This window comes from Homo sapiens, chromosome 13 (genome assembly GCF_000001405.40).
Source record: "Homo sapiens chromosome 13, GRCh38.p14 Primary Assembly".
Classification (NCBI taxonomy): Eukaryota; Metazoa; Chordata; class Mammalia; order Primates; family Hominidae; genus Homo; species Homo sapiens.
The window spans coordinates 81,004,967-81,018,251 of NC_000013.11; the positions used below are offsets into that span (position 1 = coordinate 81,004,967).

Here is a 13,285-nt window from a genome sequence, read left to right on the forward strand (position 1 = left end):
TGTATGAGGTTTCCCTTTTCTCCACATTCTTGCCAGCATTTGTTATTGTCTGACTTTTGGATAAAAGTCATTTTAACAAGGGTGAGATAATATCTAATTGCAGTTTTGATTTGCATTTCTCTTATAATCAATGATGTTGATCACCTTAATGTATACCTGTTCGCCATTTGTATGTCTACTTTTGAGAAACATCAACTCAGATCTTTTACCCATTTTTTAATCAGATTATTAGATTTTTTTCCTATAGAGTTGTCTGAGCTTCTTATATATTCTGGTTAAGAATCCCTTGTCAGATAGGCAGTTTACAAATATTTTCTCCCACTCTGTGGGTTGTCTCTTCACTTTGTTAATGGCTTTCTTTGCTGTGCAGAAGCTTTTTAACATGATGTAATGCCATTTGTCCATTTTTTACTTTGTTTGTGATTGCGGGGTATTACTTAAGAAATTTTTGCCCACTCCAATGCCCTCATGAATTTCTCCAAAGTTTTCTTTTAGTTGTTTCATAGTTTGAGATCTTAGATTTAAGTCTTTAACCCATTTTGATTTGATCTTTGTATCAAAGATCAAATGGTGAGAGATAGGAATCTAATTCCAATCTTCTGCATGTGGATCTCTAGTTTTCCCAGCACATTATTGAAGAGAATGTACTTTTTCCAATATACATAATTTTTGTCAAAAAAGTACAAAGATGCTTTTGACAAAGCATCCTTGTCAAAAATGAGTTCACAGTAGACATAAGGATTCATCTCTGGGTTCTCTGTTCTCTTCTTCTAATCCATGTGTGTTTCATGCCACAAACATGATGTTTTAATTACCATAGCTCTGTACTATAATTTGAAGTCGGATAATGTGATTCCTCCAGTTTTGTTTTATTTCCCTTAGGATATCTTTGGCTATTTGTGGTTCCATATACATTTTATAATTGTTTTATCTATTTCTGAGAATAATGTCATTGGTATTTTTATTGAGATTGCATTAAATCTATGGGTTGCTTTGGATAGTATGGACATTTTATTAAAAATATTAAGTCTTACAGTCCATTAACGTGGAATATCTTTCCATTTCTTTGTGACTTCTTCAATTTATCACATCAATATTTTATAGTTTTCATTGCGGAGATCTTTTACTCCTTTGCTTAAATAAATTCCTGGGTATTTTATTTTGTAGCTATCATATGGTATTATTTTCTTGATTTCTTTTTCTGATTGTTTGCTTTCAGCATATAGAAATGCTACTGATTTTTGTATGTTGATTTTGTATTCTGCAACTGTACTGAATTTATTTATTAGTTCTAATAGTTCTCTTGTGGATTCTTTAGGTTTTTCCAGATATAAGATTATATCATCTGCAAACAAGGATAATTAGACTTCTTCTCCAATTCGGTTTATATCTTTATATAATGCCCTTTATATCTTTCTATTGTCTGATTGCTCTAAGTAGGACTTCCAGGACTGTGTTGAAGAACAGTGGTGACAGTGAACATCCTTGTCATGTTCCAGATCTTACTGGAAAGGCTTTCAGGTTTTCCCCATTCAGTATAATAGTAGCTGTGGGGCTTATGTACGGCTTTTATTATGTTGAGAAGAAAATTTAAAAATTTCTTGAAACAAATGATAATAAAAACACAAATACCAAAACTTATGGAATTCAGTAAAAAGTAATACTAAGATGGAAGATTGTAGTTATAACTTCCTTCATCAAAAAAAAGAAAAACATCAAATACACAACTTAAAGGTGCATCTTAAAGAGCTAGAAAAGCAAGAGCAAACCAAATTCAAAATGAGTAGAACAAAATAAATACTAAAGATCAGAGTAGAAATAAATTTGAAATAAAGAATATAATACAAATAATCACTGGTCATTCAAGATCATATTTTTTAATTTCCATGTGTTTGTATAGTTTCCAAAATTCCTTTCATTATTGATTTTCAGTTTTATTCTATTGTGGTCAAAGAAGGTGCTTGATATTATTTCATTTTTTAAAATGTTTTAAGACTTACTTTGTGACCTAAAGTATGGTCTATTCTTGTGAATGATCTATGTGCTAAGGAAACAATGTCTATACTGCCGCCATTGGATGGAATGTTATGTAAATATCTTTTTGTCCAATTTGGACTACAGTGCAGATTAAGTCTGATGTTTCTTTGTTGACTTTCTGTCTGGAAGATCTGTATAATGTTGAAAGTGGGGTGTTGATATCTCTGGCTATTATCATATTGGGGTCTATCTCTCTCTTTAGCTCTAATAATATTTGCTATATGTATTTGGGTGCTCTAGCATTGGGTCCATATATAGTTACAATTGTTATTATTTTCTTTTTTTTCTTTTTTTTTGAGATGGAGTCTCGCTCTGTCACCCAGGCTGGAGTGCAGTGGTGCGATCTCAGCTCACTGCAAACTCCATCTCCTGGGTTCATGCCATTCTCCTGCCTCAGCCTCCCGAGTAGCTGGGACTACAGGTGCCTGCCACCACACCCGGCTAATTTTTTGTATTTTTAGTAGAGACGGGGTTTCACTGTGTTAGCCAGGATGGTCTCAATCTCCTGACCTCATGATCCACCCGCCTCGGCCTCCCAAAGTGCTGGAATTATAGATGTGAGCCACCACACCCGGCCGTTATTATTTTCTTGATAAATTGATTCCTTTATCATTATAGTGACCTTCTTGTTTCCTGGACTTTTTGTTTTGAAATCTATTTTGTCTGATATAAGTATAGCTACTCCTGCTTTATCTTGTTTCTGTCGGCATGGAATAGCTTTTTCCATCTGTTTATACAGTCCATGTGTGCATGCATAGGTAAAATGTAGGCAACAGATCACTGGGTATCTTTTTTAAAAAATCCATTTAAACACTCTATGTTGTTTGATAGGAGAGTGATATGGTTAGGTTCTGTGTTCCCAACCAAATCTCTTCCTGAATTTGTAATCCCCAGGTGTTGAGGGAGAGACCTGGTGGGAGGTGATTCGATCATGGAGATAGTTTTCCCCATGCTGTTCTTGTGATAATGTGTGAGTTCTCACAGGATTTGATGGTTTTTTAAGTGTTTGACATTTTCTCCTATACACACTCTCTCTGTCTCTCCCATCCACAGTGAAGAAGGTGCCAGCTTCCCCTTCTGCCATGATTGTAAGCTTCCTGAGGCTTCCCCAGTCAGGTGGAACTGTGAGTCAATGAAACCTCCTTTGTTTATAAATTACCCAGTTGCAGGTAGTATTTTTATTGCAGTGTGAAAATGAACTAATACAGTAAATTGTTATCTCAGAAAGTGGGGTACTGCTATGAAGAGTGGGTATCCAAAAATGTGAAAGCGACTTTGGAACTGGGTATCAGGCAGAAGTTGGAACAGTTTGGAGGGCTCAGAGGAAGACAGAAAGATGTGGGAAAGTTTGGAAATTCTTAGAGACTTGTTGAATGGTTTTGACCAAAATGCTATTATGGTCAATGAAGTCCAGGCTGAGGTTGTCTCAGATGAAGATTAGGAAGCCCCCACACAGAGTTCCCACTAGGGCATTGCCTACTGGGGCTGTGAGAAGAGGGCCACTGTCTTCCAGATCCCAGAATGGTAGATGCACTGAGAGTTTGCACCATGCACCTGGAAAAGCCACAGACGCTCAATGCCAGCCATGAAAGCAGCCGTGAAAGCAGCTGTGGAGTCTGTACCCGGCAAAGGCATAGGGGCAGAGCTGTCCAGGGCCATGGGAGCCCACCTCTTGCATCGGCATGAACTGGATGTGAGTCATGGGGTCAAAAGAGATTATTTTGGAGCTTTAAGATTTAATGACTGCCCCACTGGGTTTTGAACTCATATGGGGCCTGTAGCCTTTGTTTTGGCCAATTTCTCTTATTTGGAATGGGAGCCTTTACCCAATGCCTGTACCCCCATTGTATCTAGGATGTAACTAACTTGCTTTTTTACAGGCTAATAGGCAGAAGAGACTTGCCTTGTCTCAGATGAGACTTCAGACTATGTACTTTTGAGTAAATGCTGAAATGAGTTAAGACTTTGGGGGACTGTTGGGAAAGCATGATTAGTTTTAAAATGTGAAAAGGCATGAGATTTGGGAAGGGCTGGGGCAGAATTATATGGTTAAGCTTTGTGTCCCCACCCAAATCTCATCTTGACTTGTAATCCCCAGGTGTTGAGGGATAAACCTGGTGGGAGGTGATTGGATCACTGGGGCGGTTTCCCTCATGCTGTTCTCATGATAATGCATGAGTTCTCATGAGATCTGATGGTTTTATAAGTTTGACATTTGCTCCTACAGACACTCTCTCTGTCTCTCCTGCCACCTTATGAAGAAGGTGCCTGCTTCCCCTTCTGCCATGATCGTAAGTTCTCTGAGACCTCCCCAGCCAGCGGAAACAGTGAGTCAATTAAACCTCCTTTGTTTATTAAATTACTCAGTCTTGGGTAGTGTCTTTACAGCAGTGTGAAAACGGACTAATACAGAGAATTTAGTCCATTTACATTCAATGTAATCAATAATAAGTAAGGAATTACTTCTGCCATTTTGCTGTTTGTTTTCTGTTTGTTTTGTGGTCTTTTCTTCCTTTTTTCTTTCCTTCCTGTCTTCCATTTAGTGAAGGTGATTTTTCTCTGGTTTTAGAATTTGATGTCTTGCTTTTTATTTTTTGTATCCTTTGCATGTTTTCACATTTGATGTTAACATGAGGCTTGTAAATACCTTCTTATAACCCATTATGTATGCTGATAACAACTTAACACTCTTTGCATAAACAAACAACAAATAGAAAACTAATAAAAATTCTACATCCTATATCCCCCACTTTTTAGCTTTTTGTTGCTTTTACTTATATCTTTTTTTTTTTTTTTTGAGTTGGAGTCTCACTCTGTCTCCCAGGCTGGAGTGCAATGGCATGATCTTGGCTCACTGCAAGCTCCGCCTGCCGGGTTCACACCATTCTCCTTCCTCAGCCTCCCGAGTAGCTGGGACTACAGGCGTCTGCCAAGCCTGGCTAATTTTATTGTATTTTTAGTAGAGACAGGGTTTCACCGTGTTAGCCAAGATGGCCTCGATCTCCTGACCTCACGATCTGCCCACCTCGGCCTCCCAAAGTGCTGAGATTACAGACGTGAGCCACCGTGCCCAGCCCACTTTTCCTTATATCTTATGGTACTATTTTTGCCTTGAAAAGTTATTATGGTTATTATTTTTGATTGGTTCAATGTTTATTCTTTCTACTTAACAGTAGTTTACATACTGGAGTTACGTATTATATTATTCTGTATTTATCTGTGTACTTACTATTACCAGTGAGATTTGTATCTTCAGATAATTTCTTATTGTTCATTAATGTTCTTTTCTTTCTAATTGAAGTACTCCCTTTAGCATTCCTTATACGATGGACCTGATATTGAAGAATTTCCTTAGCTTTTGTTTGTCTGGGGAAGTTATTTCTTCTTCATGTTTGAAGGCAAGTTTCACCACATGTACTATTCTAGGATAAAAGTGGATTTCCTTCAGAATTTTAAACATATCATGGCATTCTCTCTTGGCCTGTAAGGACTTTCAGACATTTCTACTGAAAAGTCTTCTTAAGTTATATTGGAGCTTTATTATATGTTATTTGTTTCTTTTATCTCGCTGGTGTTAGGACCCTTTCTTTATTCTTGATCTTTGGGGATTTGATTATTAAATGCCTTCAGGTAGATTTTATTATTAAATGCCAACTGCTTGGTGGTCAATAACCCTTTTGTATTTCAATATTGATATCTTTCTCCAGGTTTGGAAATTTCTCTGTTATTGTCTCTTTGAATAAACTTTCTAGCCTTCTCTTTCTACTTCCTCTTTAAGGCCAATAACTCAGATTTGCCTTTTTGAGGCTATTTTCTACATCTTGTAGGTGGGCTTCATTGTGTGTGTGTGTGTGTGTGTGTGTGTGTGTGTGTGTGTGTGTGTTTTGGCTCCTCTACGTATTTTTAAATAGCCTGTCTTCAAGCTCACTAATTCTTCCTTCTGCTCAAACAATTCTGCTATTAAGAGAATCTGATGCATGCTATAGCATGTCAATTATATTTATCAACTCAATAATTTATGCTTGATTCTTTTCAATTATTTCAATTTCTTTGCTAAATGTATCTGATAGGGTTCTCAATTCCTTCTTTGTGTTATCTTGAATTTCTTTGAGTTTCCTCAAAAGAGTAATTTTGAATTCTCTGTCTGAAAGGATTGGTCCCTGGTGCCTCCTATAATTTGTTGGTTGAAGTCATGTTTTTCTGGATGGTTTTGATACTTGTTAATTTTTTTAGTGTCTGGGCATTGAAGAGTTAGGTATGTATTGTAGACTTAGCAGACTCAGCTAGTTTGTACCCGTCGTTTTGGGAAGGCTTTCCAGATATTTGAAAGGACTTTGGCATTGAGATCTAAGCAGTATCTGCATTAGGGGAAACTCCAAGCCCAGTAATGCTGTAGTTCTTGCAGAATCATAGGCATAATGGCTTTATGGTCTTGGATAAAACTGAAAAAAATTCTCTGGATCACCAGGCAGAAACTCTTGTTGTCTTTCTTTACTTTTTCTCAAACAAACGGATTGTCCCTCTGTTTTGAGCCATCTCGAGTTTGGGGTGGGATGAAATGAGCACCTCTGTAGCCTCTGCCTCTGAGACTGTGTTAGGTCTGACCTGAAGGCAGCACAGCACTTGGTCTCACCCCAAACCCACTGTAACCACTACCTGGCTACTGCCTGTATTTGCTTACGTCACTGGGCAGTGACGTAAATCAGCAGGCAGTGAAGCAAGCCAGGCTTCTATCCTTTCCTTCAGGATGATGAGTTCCCTTAAGCCCTGGGTGAGTCCAGTATTATCTTCTAGGAGCCAGGGACTGAAGTGATACAGCTTAGAAGTCTACCTGATGTTCTATTTACAGTGCAGCTGAGCTGGTACTCAACTATGGGACACAATTCTTCTCACCCTTTCCTCCTTTTTCCACAGGGAGAGGCACTTCACCTTCTGGTAACCAACACCACAGGCTTATGGGGATTACTGCAAGGTGATGAGAGATGTTCCCTTAAGCCCCAAGTGCTCTTCAGTCATTTTGTGATGAATGCTGTCAGACCTAGGACTCACCCTTCAGTGCAGTGGACTCCTCTCTGTCCCAGGGCAGGTTCAGAAATGCTCAGAAATGCCACCCAAGAGCCAAGGCCTTGAATTCAGGACCCCAAGAGCCTACTTGGTGTTCCGACCTATTGTGGTCAAGCTGGTACCTAGGGTGCAAAACAAAGTCCCCATTATTTTTCTCCAGCAGAGGGAGTGTCTCCTAGTAGCCAACACAGCTGGGATTATGCCGAGTCTCACGTGAAGCCTACATGTCTTGGAGTCTCACCCAAAGCCCACAGCATATGACATGAGTATCATTGCTGATTATTCAGAGCTCAAAGGCTCTTTAGTCAGTAGGTGATGGGTCCTGCCAGGTCTAGATTCCTTCCTGCAGGCAGTGGGTTCCGTTATGGTCAGGATGTGTCTAGAAATATTATCCAGGAACTAGGGCCTGGAAAGGGGGCCTCATGGCTCTGACCAATTTCTCTGGCTACTACTTCCAGTGCTATACTGAATAGGAGTGCTGTTGGATTCAGTTTGCTAGTATTTTGTTGAGTATTTTTTCATCTTTGGTCATCAAGGATATTGGACAGTTGTTGTCTTTTTTTACTGTGTCTTTGCTAGGTTTTAGTGTCAGGGTGATGCTAGCTTTTTAGATAACTTAGGAAACAGTCCATCTTCAAATTTTTTGGAATAGTTGTAGCGGAATTGGTACCAGCTCTTCTTTGCATGTCTGATAGAATTTGGCTGTGAATCCATCTGGTACAGGGCTTTTGTTGATTTATTTTTTTAAAATACTGCTTCAATTTTAGAACTTGATATTGGTCTATTAGGGTTTCAATTTCTTTCTTGTTCAATCTTGGGAGGTTGTGTGTTTCTGGGAATTTATTTTCTCTATATTTTCTAGTCTTTGTGCATATAGGTGTTCATAATAGTCTCAGCATATTTTGTATTTCTGTGAGATAGGTTGTAATGCCACCTTTGTTGTTTCTGATTTTGCTTATTTTAAACTTTTCTCTTTTGTGTTTATCTAGTTATTAGTCTATTGATCTTGTTTATTCTTTCAAAGAACCAACCTTTGGTTTCACTGACCTTTGTATTAAATTTTGGGTCTCAATTTCATTCAGTTCTGCTCTGATTTTAGTGATTTTTTTCTGCTACCTTTGGGGTTACATTGTTCTGTTTTTTTCTAGTTCCTGTAGGTGTGACTTTAGATCATTAATTTGAGATCTTTCTAACATTTTAAGGTTGGTGATTTACACTTTAATCTTTCCTCTTAACACTGCTTTTGCTACGGCCCATAGATGTTGGTATGTTGTTTCTCTATTTATTTCAAATAATTTAATTTCTGCCTTATTTTGTCGTTCACCTAAAAGTCATTCGGGAGAAAGTTGTTTAATTTCCATGTAATTGTGTGATTTTTGAGATTTGTGATTTTTGGTATTGGTTTCTATGCTTATTCCACTCTGGTACAAGAGTATGGATGGCATGGATTTCATTTTTTTTTTTTTTTGTGGAAATTATTGAGGCTTGCTTTATGGGAAACTATGTGTTTGATCTTGGAGTATATTTTGTGTGCAGATGAGAATTTATATTCTGTGTCTGATAGGTGAAGTATTCTGTAGAAGTCTATTAGGTTCTGTTAGCCAAATGTTGAATATAAGTCCAAAATTTATTTGTTAATTTCTGCCTTGAAGATCTCTTTAACACTGTCAGTGGGGCACTGAAGTCCCTCGCCATTATTGTGTAGTTATGTATGTCTTGTTGTGGGTTTAGAAGTAATTACTTTATAAATCTGGGTGCTCCAATGTTGGACATGTATATATTTAGAATAGATAAGCCATCTTGTTAATTGAACACTTCATTATTACGTAATGCTATTCTTTATCCTTTTTTATTATTGGATTAAGGTCTGTTTTGTATGATATAGTCATAGTGACACCTGCTCATTTTTGTTTTCTTTTTCTTTTTTCTTTGAGATAGAGTTTCACTCTTGTTGCCCAGGCTGGAGTGCAATAGCATGGTCTCAGCTCACTGTAACCTCCACCTCCTGGGTTCAAGTAATTTTCCTGTGTCGGACTCCCAAGTAGCTGGGATTACAGGTGCCTGCCACACCCAACCAATTTTGTGTTTTTAGTAGAGATGGGGTGTCACCATGTTAGTCAGGTTGGTCTCAAACTCCTGACCTCAGGGGATCCACCCTCCTTGGCCTCCCAAACTGCTGGGATTACAGACGTGAGCCACCGCACCCTGCCTTGTTTTCTTTTTATGTGGTAGATTTTTTTCTCACTGTTTACATCAACCCATGTGATACAGGTCTTTTGAAAATAGAAGATGGATGGGTCTTGTATTTGTATCCATCCTGCCACTCTGTGCCTTTTAAATGGAGGCATTTAGACTGTTTAAATTCAAGGTTAATATTGATATGTGAAGTTTTAATCCTATCATGAAGTTGTTAGCTGGTTCCTCTGTAGTTTCTACTGTGTCATTGCTTCATAGGGTCTGTGGGCTATGTTTTTTAGTATGGTTTTGTGATAGCAGGTTTCATTCTTTTATTTTGACATTTAGAACTCCCTTAAGGATCTATTGTAAGGCTTTTTTATTGGTAACTAATTCCCTTAGCCCTTGCTTGTTGGGAAAAGCAACAAAGCAAATAATCAAATTTCTCTTTTGATTATGAAGTTTAGTTTGGTAGGATATAAAAATTCTTGGATGAAATTTTTCTTAAAGAATGGTAAAAATAGACCCCTAATCCTTCCTGGATTGTAAGATATCTACTGATAAATCCACTGTTAGCCTGTTGGGCTTCCCTTTATACATGATCTAACCTTTTTCCCCTGGCTGCCTTTAAGAATTTTTCTTTAACATTGACTTTGGAGAGTCTGATGACTATATACCTTTGGTGATGTTTGTTTTCTACACTATCTTGCAGTTATTCTCTGGATTTCTTGCATCTAGATACCAACCTCCCTAGGAAGAGTAGGAAATTTTTTTTTGAATTATTTGTTCACATTATTTGTTTGTCTCCTTCTCTTTTGGCAATACCAAATAATTTTTAGGTTTGCTTACTTTGAATTATCCCAAATTTCTCAAAGACTTTGTATATTTCTAAAAATTGTTTTAAAAATTTTTGTCTGATTATATTTGTTAAAAAGACTGGTCTTCAAGCTCTTAAATTATTTCTTTTTCTTGGCCTGACTGTATTAGTTAGAAAGACTTGTCTTCAAGCACTTAAATTGTTTCTTTTTCTTGGTCCAGTCTAAATTGCTAAAGCTCTCAATTGTATTTTGAAATTCCTTAAGTGAGTTTTTCAATTCCAGATGCTCAGATTTATTTCCTTTTAGAATGTTTATCTGTTTCATCATTTACTAGATTGCTTTAGAAGTTTCATCATGTTGATTTTCTTTGTGTTGTCTTGGATCTTTTTGAGCTTCCTTGCAATCCATGCTTCAAATTTTTATCTATAATTTCTCAGTTTCCATTTTGATTACATTGCTGGAGAGCTCTTTCCATCCTTTGGTGTGTCATTACATTTAGATTTTTCATGGTGCCCAAATTCTTGTGCTGTTTCCTTCTCATCTGGGGACATTAACATTTACAATTTTGTAATTATTTTCATACAGGTGAATATTTTATTTTTGTTTTATTCCCTATATATTTTTTTTCTTTTCCTTTCCCTCTTCACTATAGGGTGTGACTCTTGAGAGTACTGAGCAGGGTCTTTTGGCTTTGTTTCTATAGCCCTATGCACGTCTGTCACTAGGTTTTATACTGGGCTGTGCAGTTTGACCTACAAGCCAGTAGATGGTACTTACAGGTAACAGCCAGCTGCAGCCAATGTGGCTGAGTATATACTTGATCTTGTTACTGAGATAATCTCTCTGTTTCCTCAGGAAATGGGCTGATTCATGAAGTACACAGTGGTCTTAGCTCCCTGCTTAGTCTTGGGGGACTGGGGCCAAGATAGGCAGGGCTGGCCTAGGCAGGTTCACCTACAGGTCCCCCAATTGCCAGCATAAGCACCAAAACTGAGGAAGAATTCAGTGGGTGGCCACCAAGCACCCACAAATATGTCTAAATGTGGATTTAGGAAGCCTTTCTGGCCCCAGGTTCTCTGCATTGGGATGGTGGCTGGTCTAAACTCCTAATTTTAGAACAGTGGGTGCTCCAGATGCCTGGAGATCTCCCTGTATATCAAGCATGGAGTCCCCTCCATGCACCAGGATTTCTGCACAGGAAGTGTGGGGTAGCTCAGGCCACTATTTGAGGCAAACAGGTGCTCTAGATGCCTAGAGATGGGCCTGGGTTGGAGTAGAGAGGGCTTCTATGCAAGAAGATTTCTGCATAGGAAGAGTAGGGTGAGAGAGACTGCCAATCCCAGTGAGCAGATGTTCTGAATGCCTGGATCTCTGCCTGGGCTTAGAGCAGAAAGAACCTCACTGCACCATGATGTAAGCCCAGGAAGAATGGGGTATATGAGACTGATGAACCAGTTGAATGATTACTCCAAATACCTGGAGATCTGCCTGGGCATGAAGCAGAAAGTTCCTCCCTGCACCATGATCTATGTCTAGGAAGAGTGGAGAAGGTAAGGCTGTCATCCAGGCAAGCAAGTGCTCTAGATGGCTGGAGGTATGCCTGGACATGGAACAGAGAGAATCCCACTCACCACGATCTACATCTAGGAAGGGTGGGGCGAGTTGGGCTGCTAATACAGCTGAGTGGTTGCTTCAAATGCCTGGAGATCTGTCTAAGCATGGAGCAGAGAGGGCCCCACTATACCTTGATTTATGTCCAGGAAGAGTGGGGCACCTCAGGCTGATGGTCTAGGCAAATGATGCTCCAAATGCCTGAATTTCAGCCTGAGGTTAGAGCAGAGAGGATCTTGATGCACCACTATTTCAGGGGAGCAGGCTGGTAAACCCAGTAATAGCACATGCAGACCAGGTCAGCACAAGCTGACCCTGGTGGCAAGTCTTGCCCAGGCAAAATTGCAGCTGTAGCAGCTCCCTTTTGCCCTAGGTTTCTGATGTGGGAAAGCACAATTCAAAGACATGTTTCATGTTATTTTATCTGTTCTTATAATACTATATTTTATTCTATATTGAATAAGAATGAAAATAGTAAATAATGACTCAATGTAGTATCAATTAAATATTGTAATTAAAATGCTTACACAAGTGATTGACAAAAACAGACACTAAATAAATATTGGCAATTGTTATTTGGTGGGTCCTCACTGAATTTTCAACTTTTGTTCTTTCCTCTAGGTCAGTCTTGTTTGCATTTTGTTTCAAACTGGGTTAACCTAGCAGTAGTGTGCTATTCATTTGAGAACGTAGAAAATAGGAATACACATTCAGTACGAATAATTCCTAATCCTAAACACAGAAATGTAAGATAAATTATACTACATAAACACCACAAGTCATGCCAAACACAGACTTATTTTTGTTCACTGTCGTGACACTAGGGAGACATCTGACTCTTTAGCTCTGTGACACTGACATTTCCGGCTTAGAATTCATTTCCGTTAAAAATCATCTTAATATCATTTAAAATAATATGCTGTGACTTTTGGGATCTGCAAAATTATTACCGGTTAAATATAAAAGCAAGTCCATAAAAATACAAAATAAAATGAATATTGTTTTTACCTGGCAATCCTTTGTGTCTCCACGGCATGTAATTTAGAAGAGGAGGACATGTTCTAACAGAAGGAAAGGGTGCCCTCTAGTGTTTTAGTTAAAAGTGAACAATTAGCTAACATACCTCTCAAACTTATATTTATTAGATTCTCAACTGAAAATAGTCTCTAGAGTAAAGATTAGACTAAAAAAAAATAAAGCTACTAGTAGTATAAGGTGTTAGGAAAACATATGGTATTTATGATGCATTCTTCTTGAGCTTAAACATAGAAAAGTGTAGAATGAAAGATTAAGTCAATCTATCATGTTCTCCTTTTCCATCACCTAATAAATTACAGTTACTCTATCTGTGGAGTTTGCCTCAAGCTTGGAATTGCTAAACATTTATGATAATATTGCAGCTGTCATTGTCCAAAAATACATAGATATGAACATTTTTGTCACAAAATGTTGACTGTATACATTTCCTTCAAACTGATTTTTTCAATATTTTTAGTAATAATTTTAGCCAGATTAGATTAAAACACAATATAAATTACTTTTTATATATTTAAAATACTTCACTAAATATTTTATGCATT

At 37.9% G+C, this 13,285-nt stretch overlaps 2 annotated features.

Moving 5' to 3' along the window:
* Nucleotides 11,316-11,817: an enhancer, noted in NCBI's record as "H3K27ac hESC enhancer chr13:81590417-81590918 (GRCh37/hg19 assembly coordinates)". NCBI's record gives its function as "activates a minimal SCP1, AML or CMV promoter by ChIP-STARR-seq in primed H9 embryonic stem cells {active_cell/tissue: H9 hESC(primed)}" and the evidence as "EXISTENCE:reporter gene assay evidence [ECO:0000049][PMID:30033119]".
* Nucleotides 11,818-12,317: an enhancer, noted in NCBI's record as "H3K27ac hESC enhancer chr13:81590919-81591418 (GRCh37/hg19 assembly coordinates)". NCBI's record gives its function as "activates a minimal SCP1, AML or CMV promoter by ChIP-STARR-seq in primed H9 embryonic stem cells {active_cell/tissue: H9 hESC(primed)}" and the evidence as "EXISTENCE:reporter gene assay evidence [ECO:0000049][PMID:30033119]".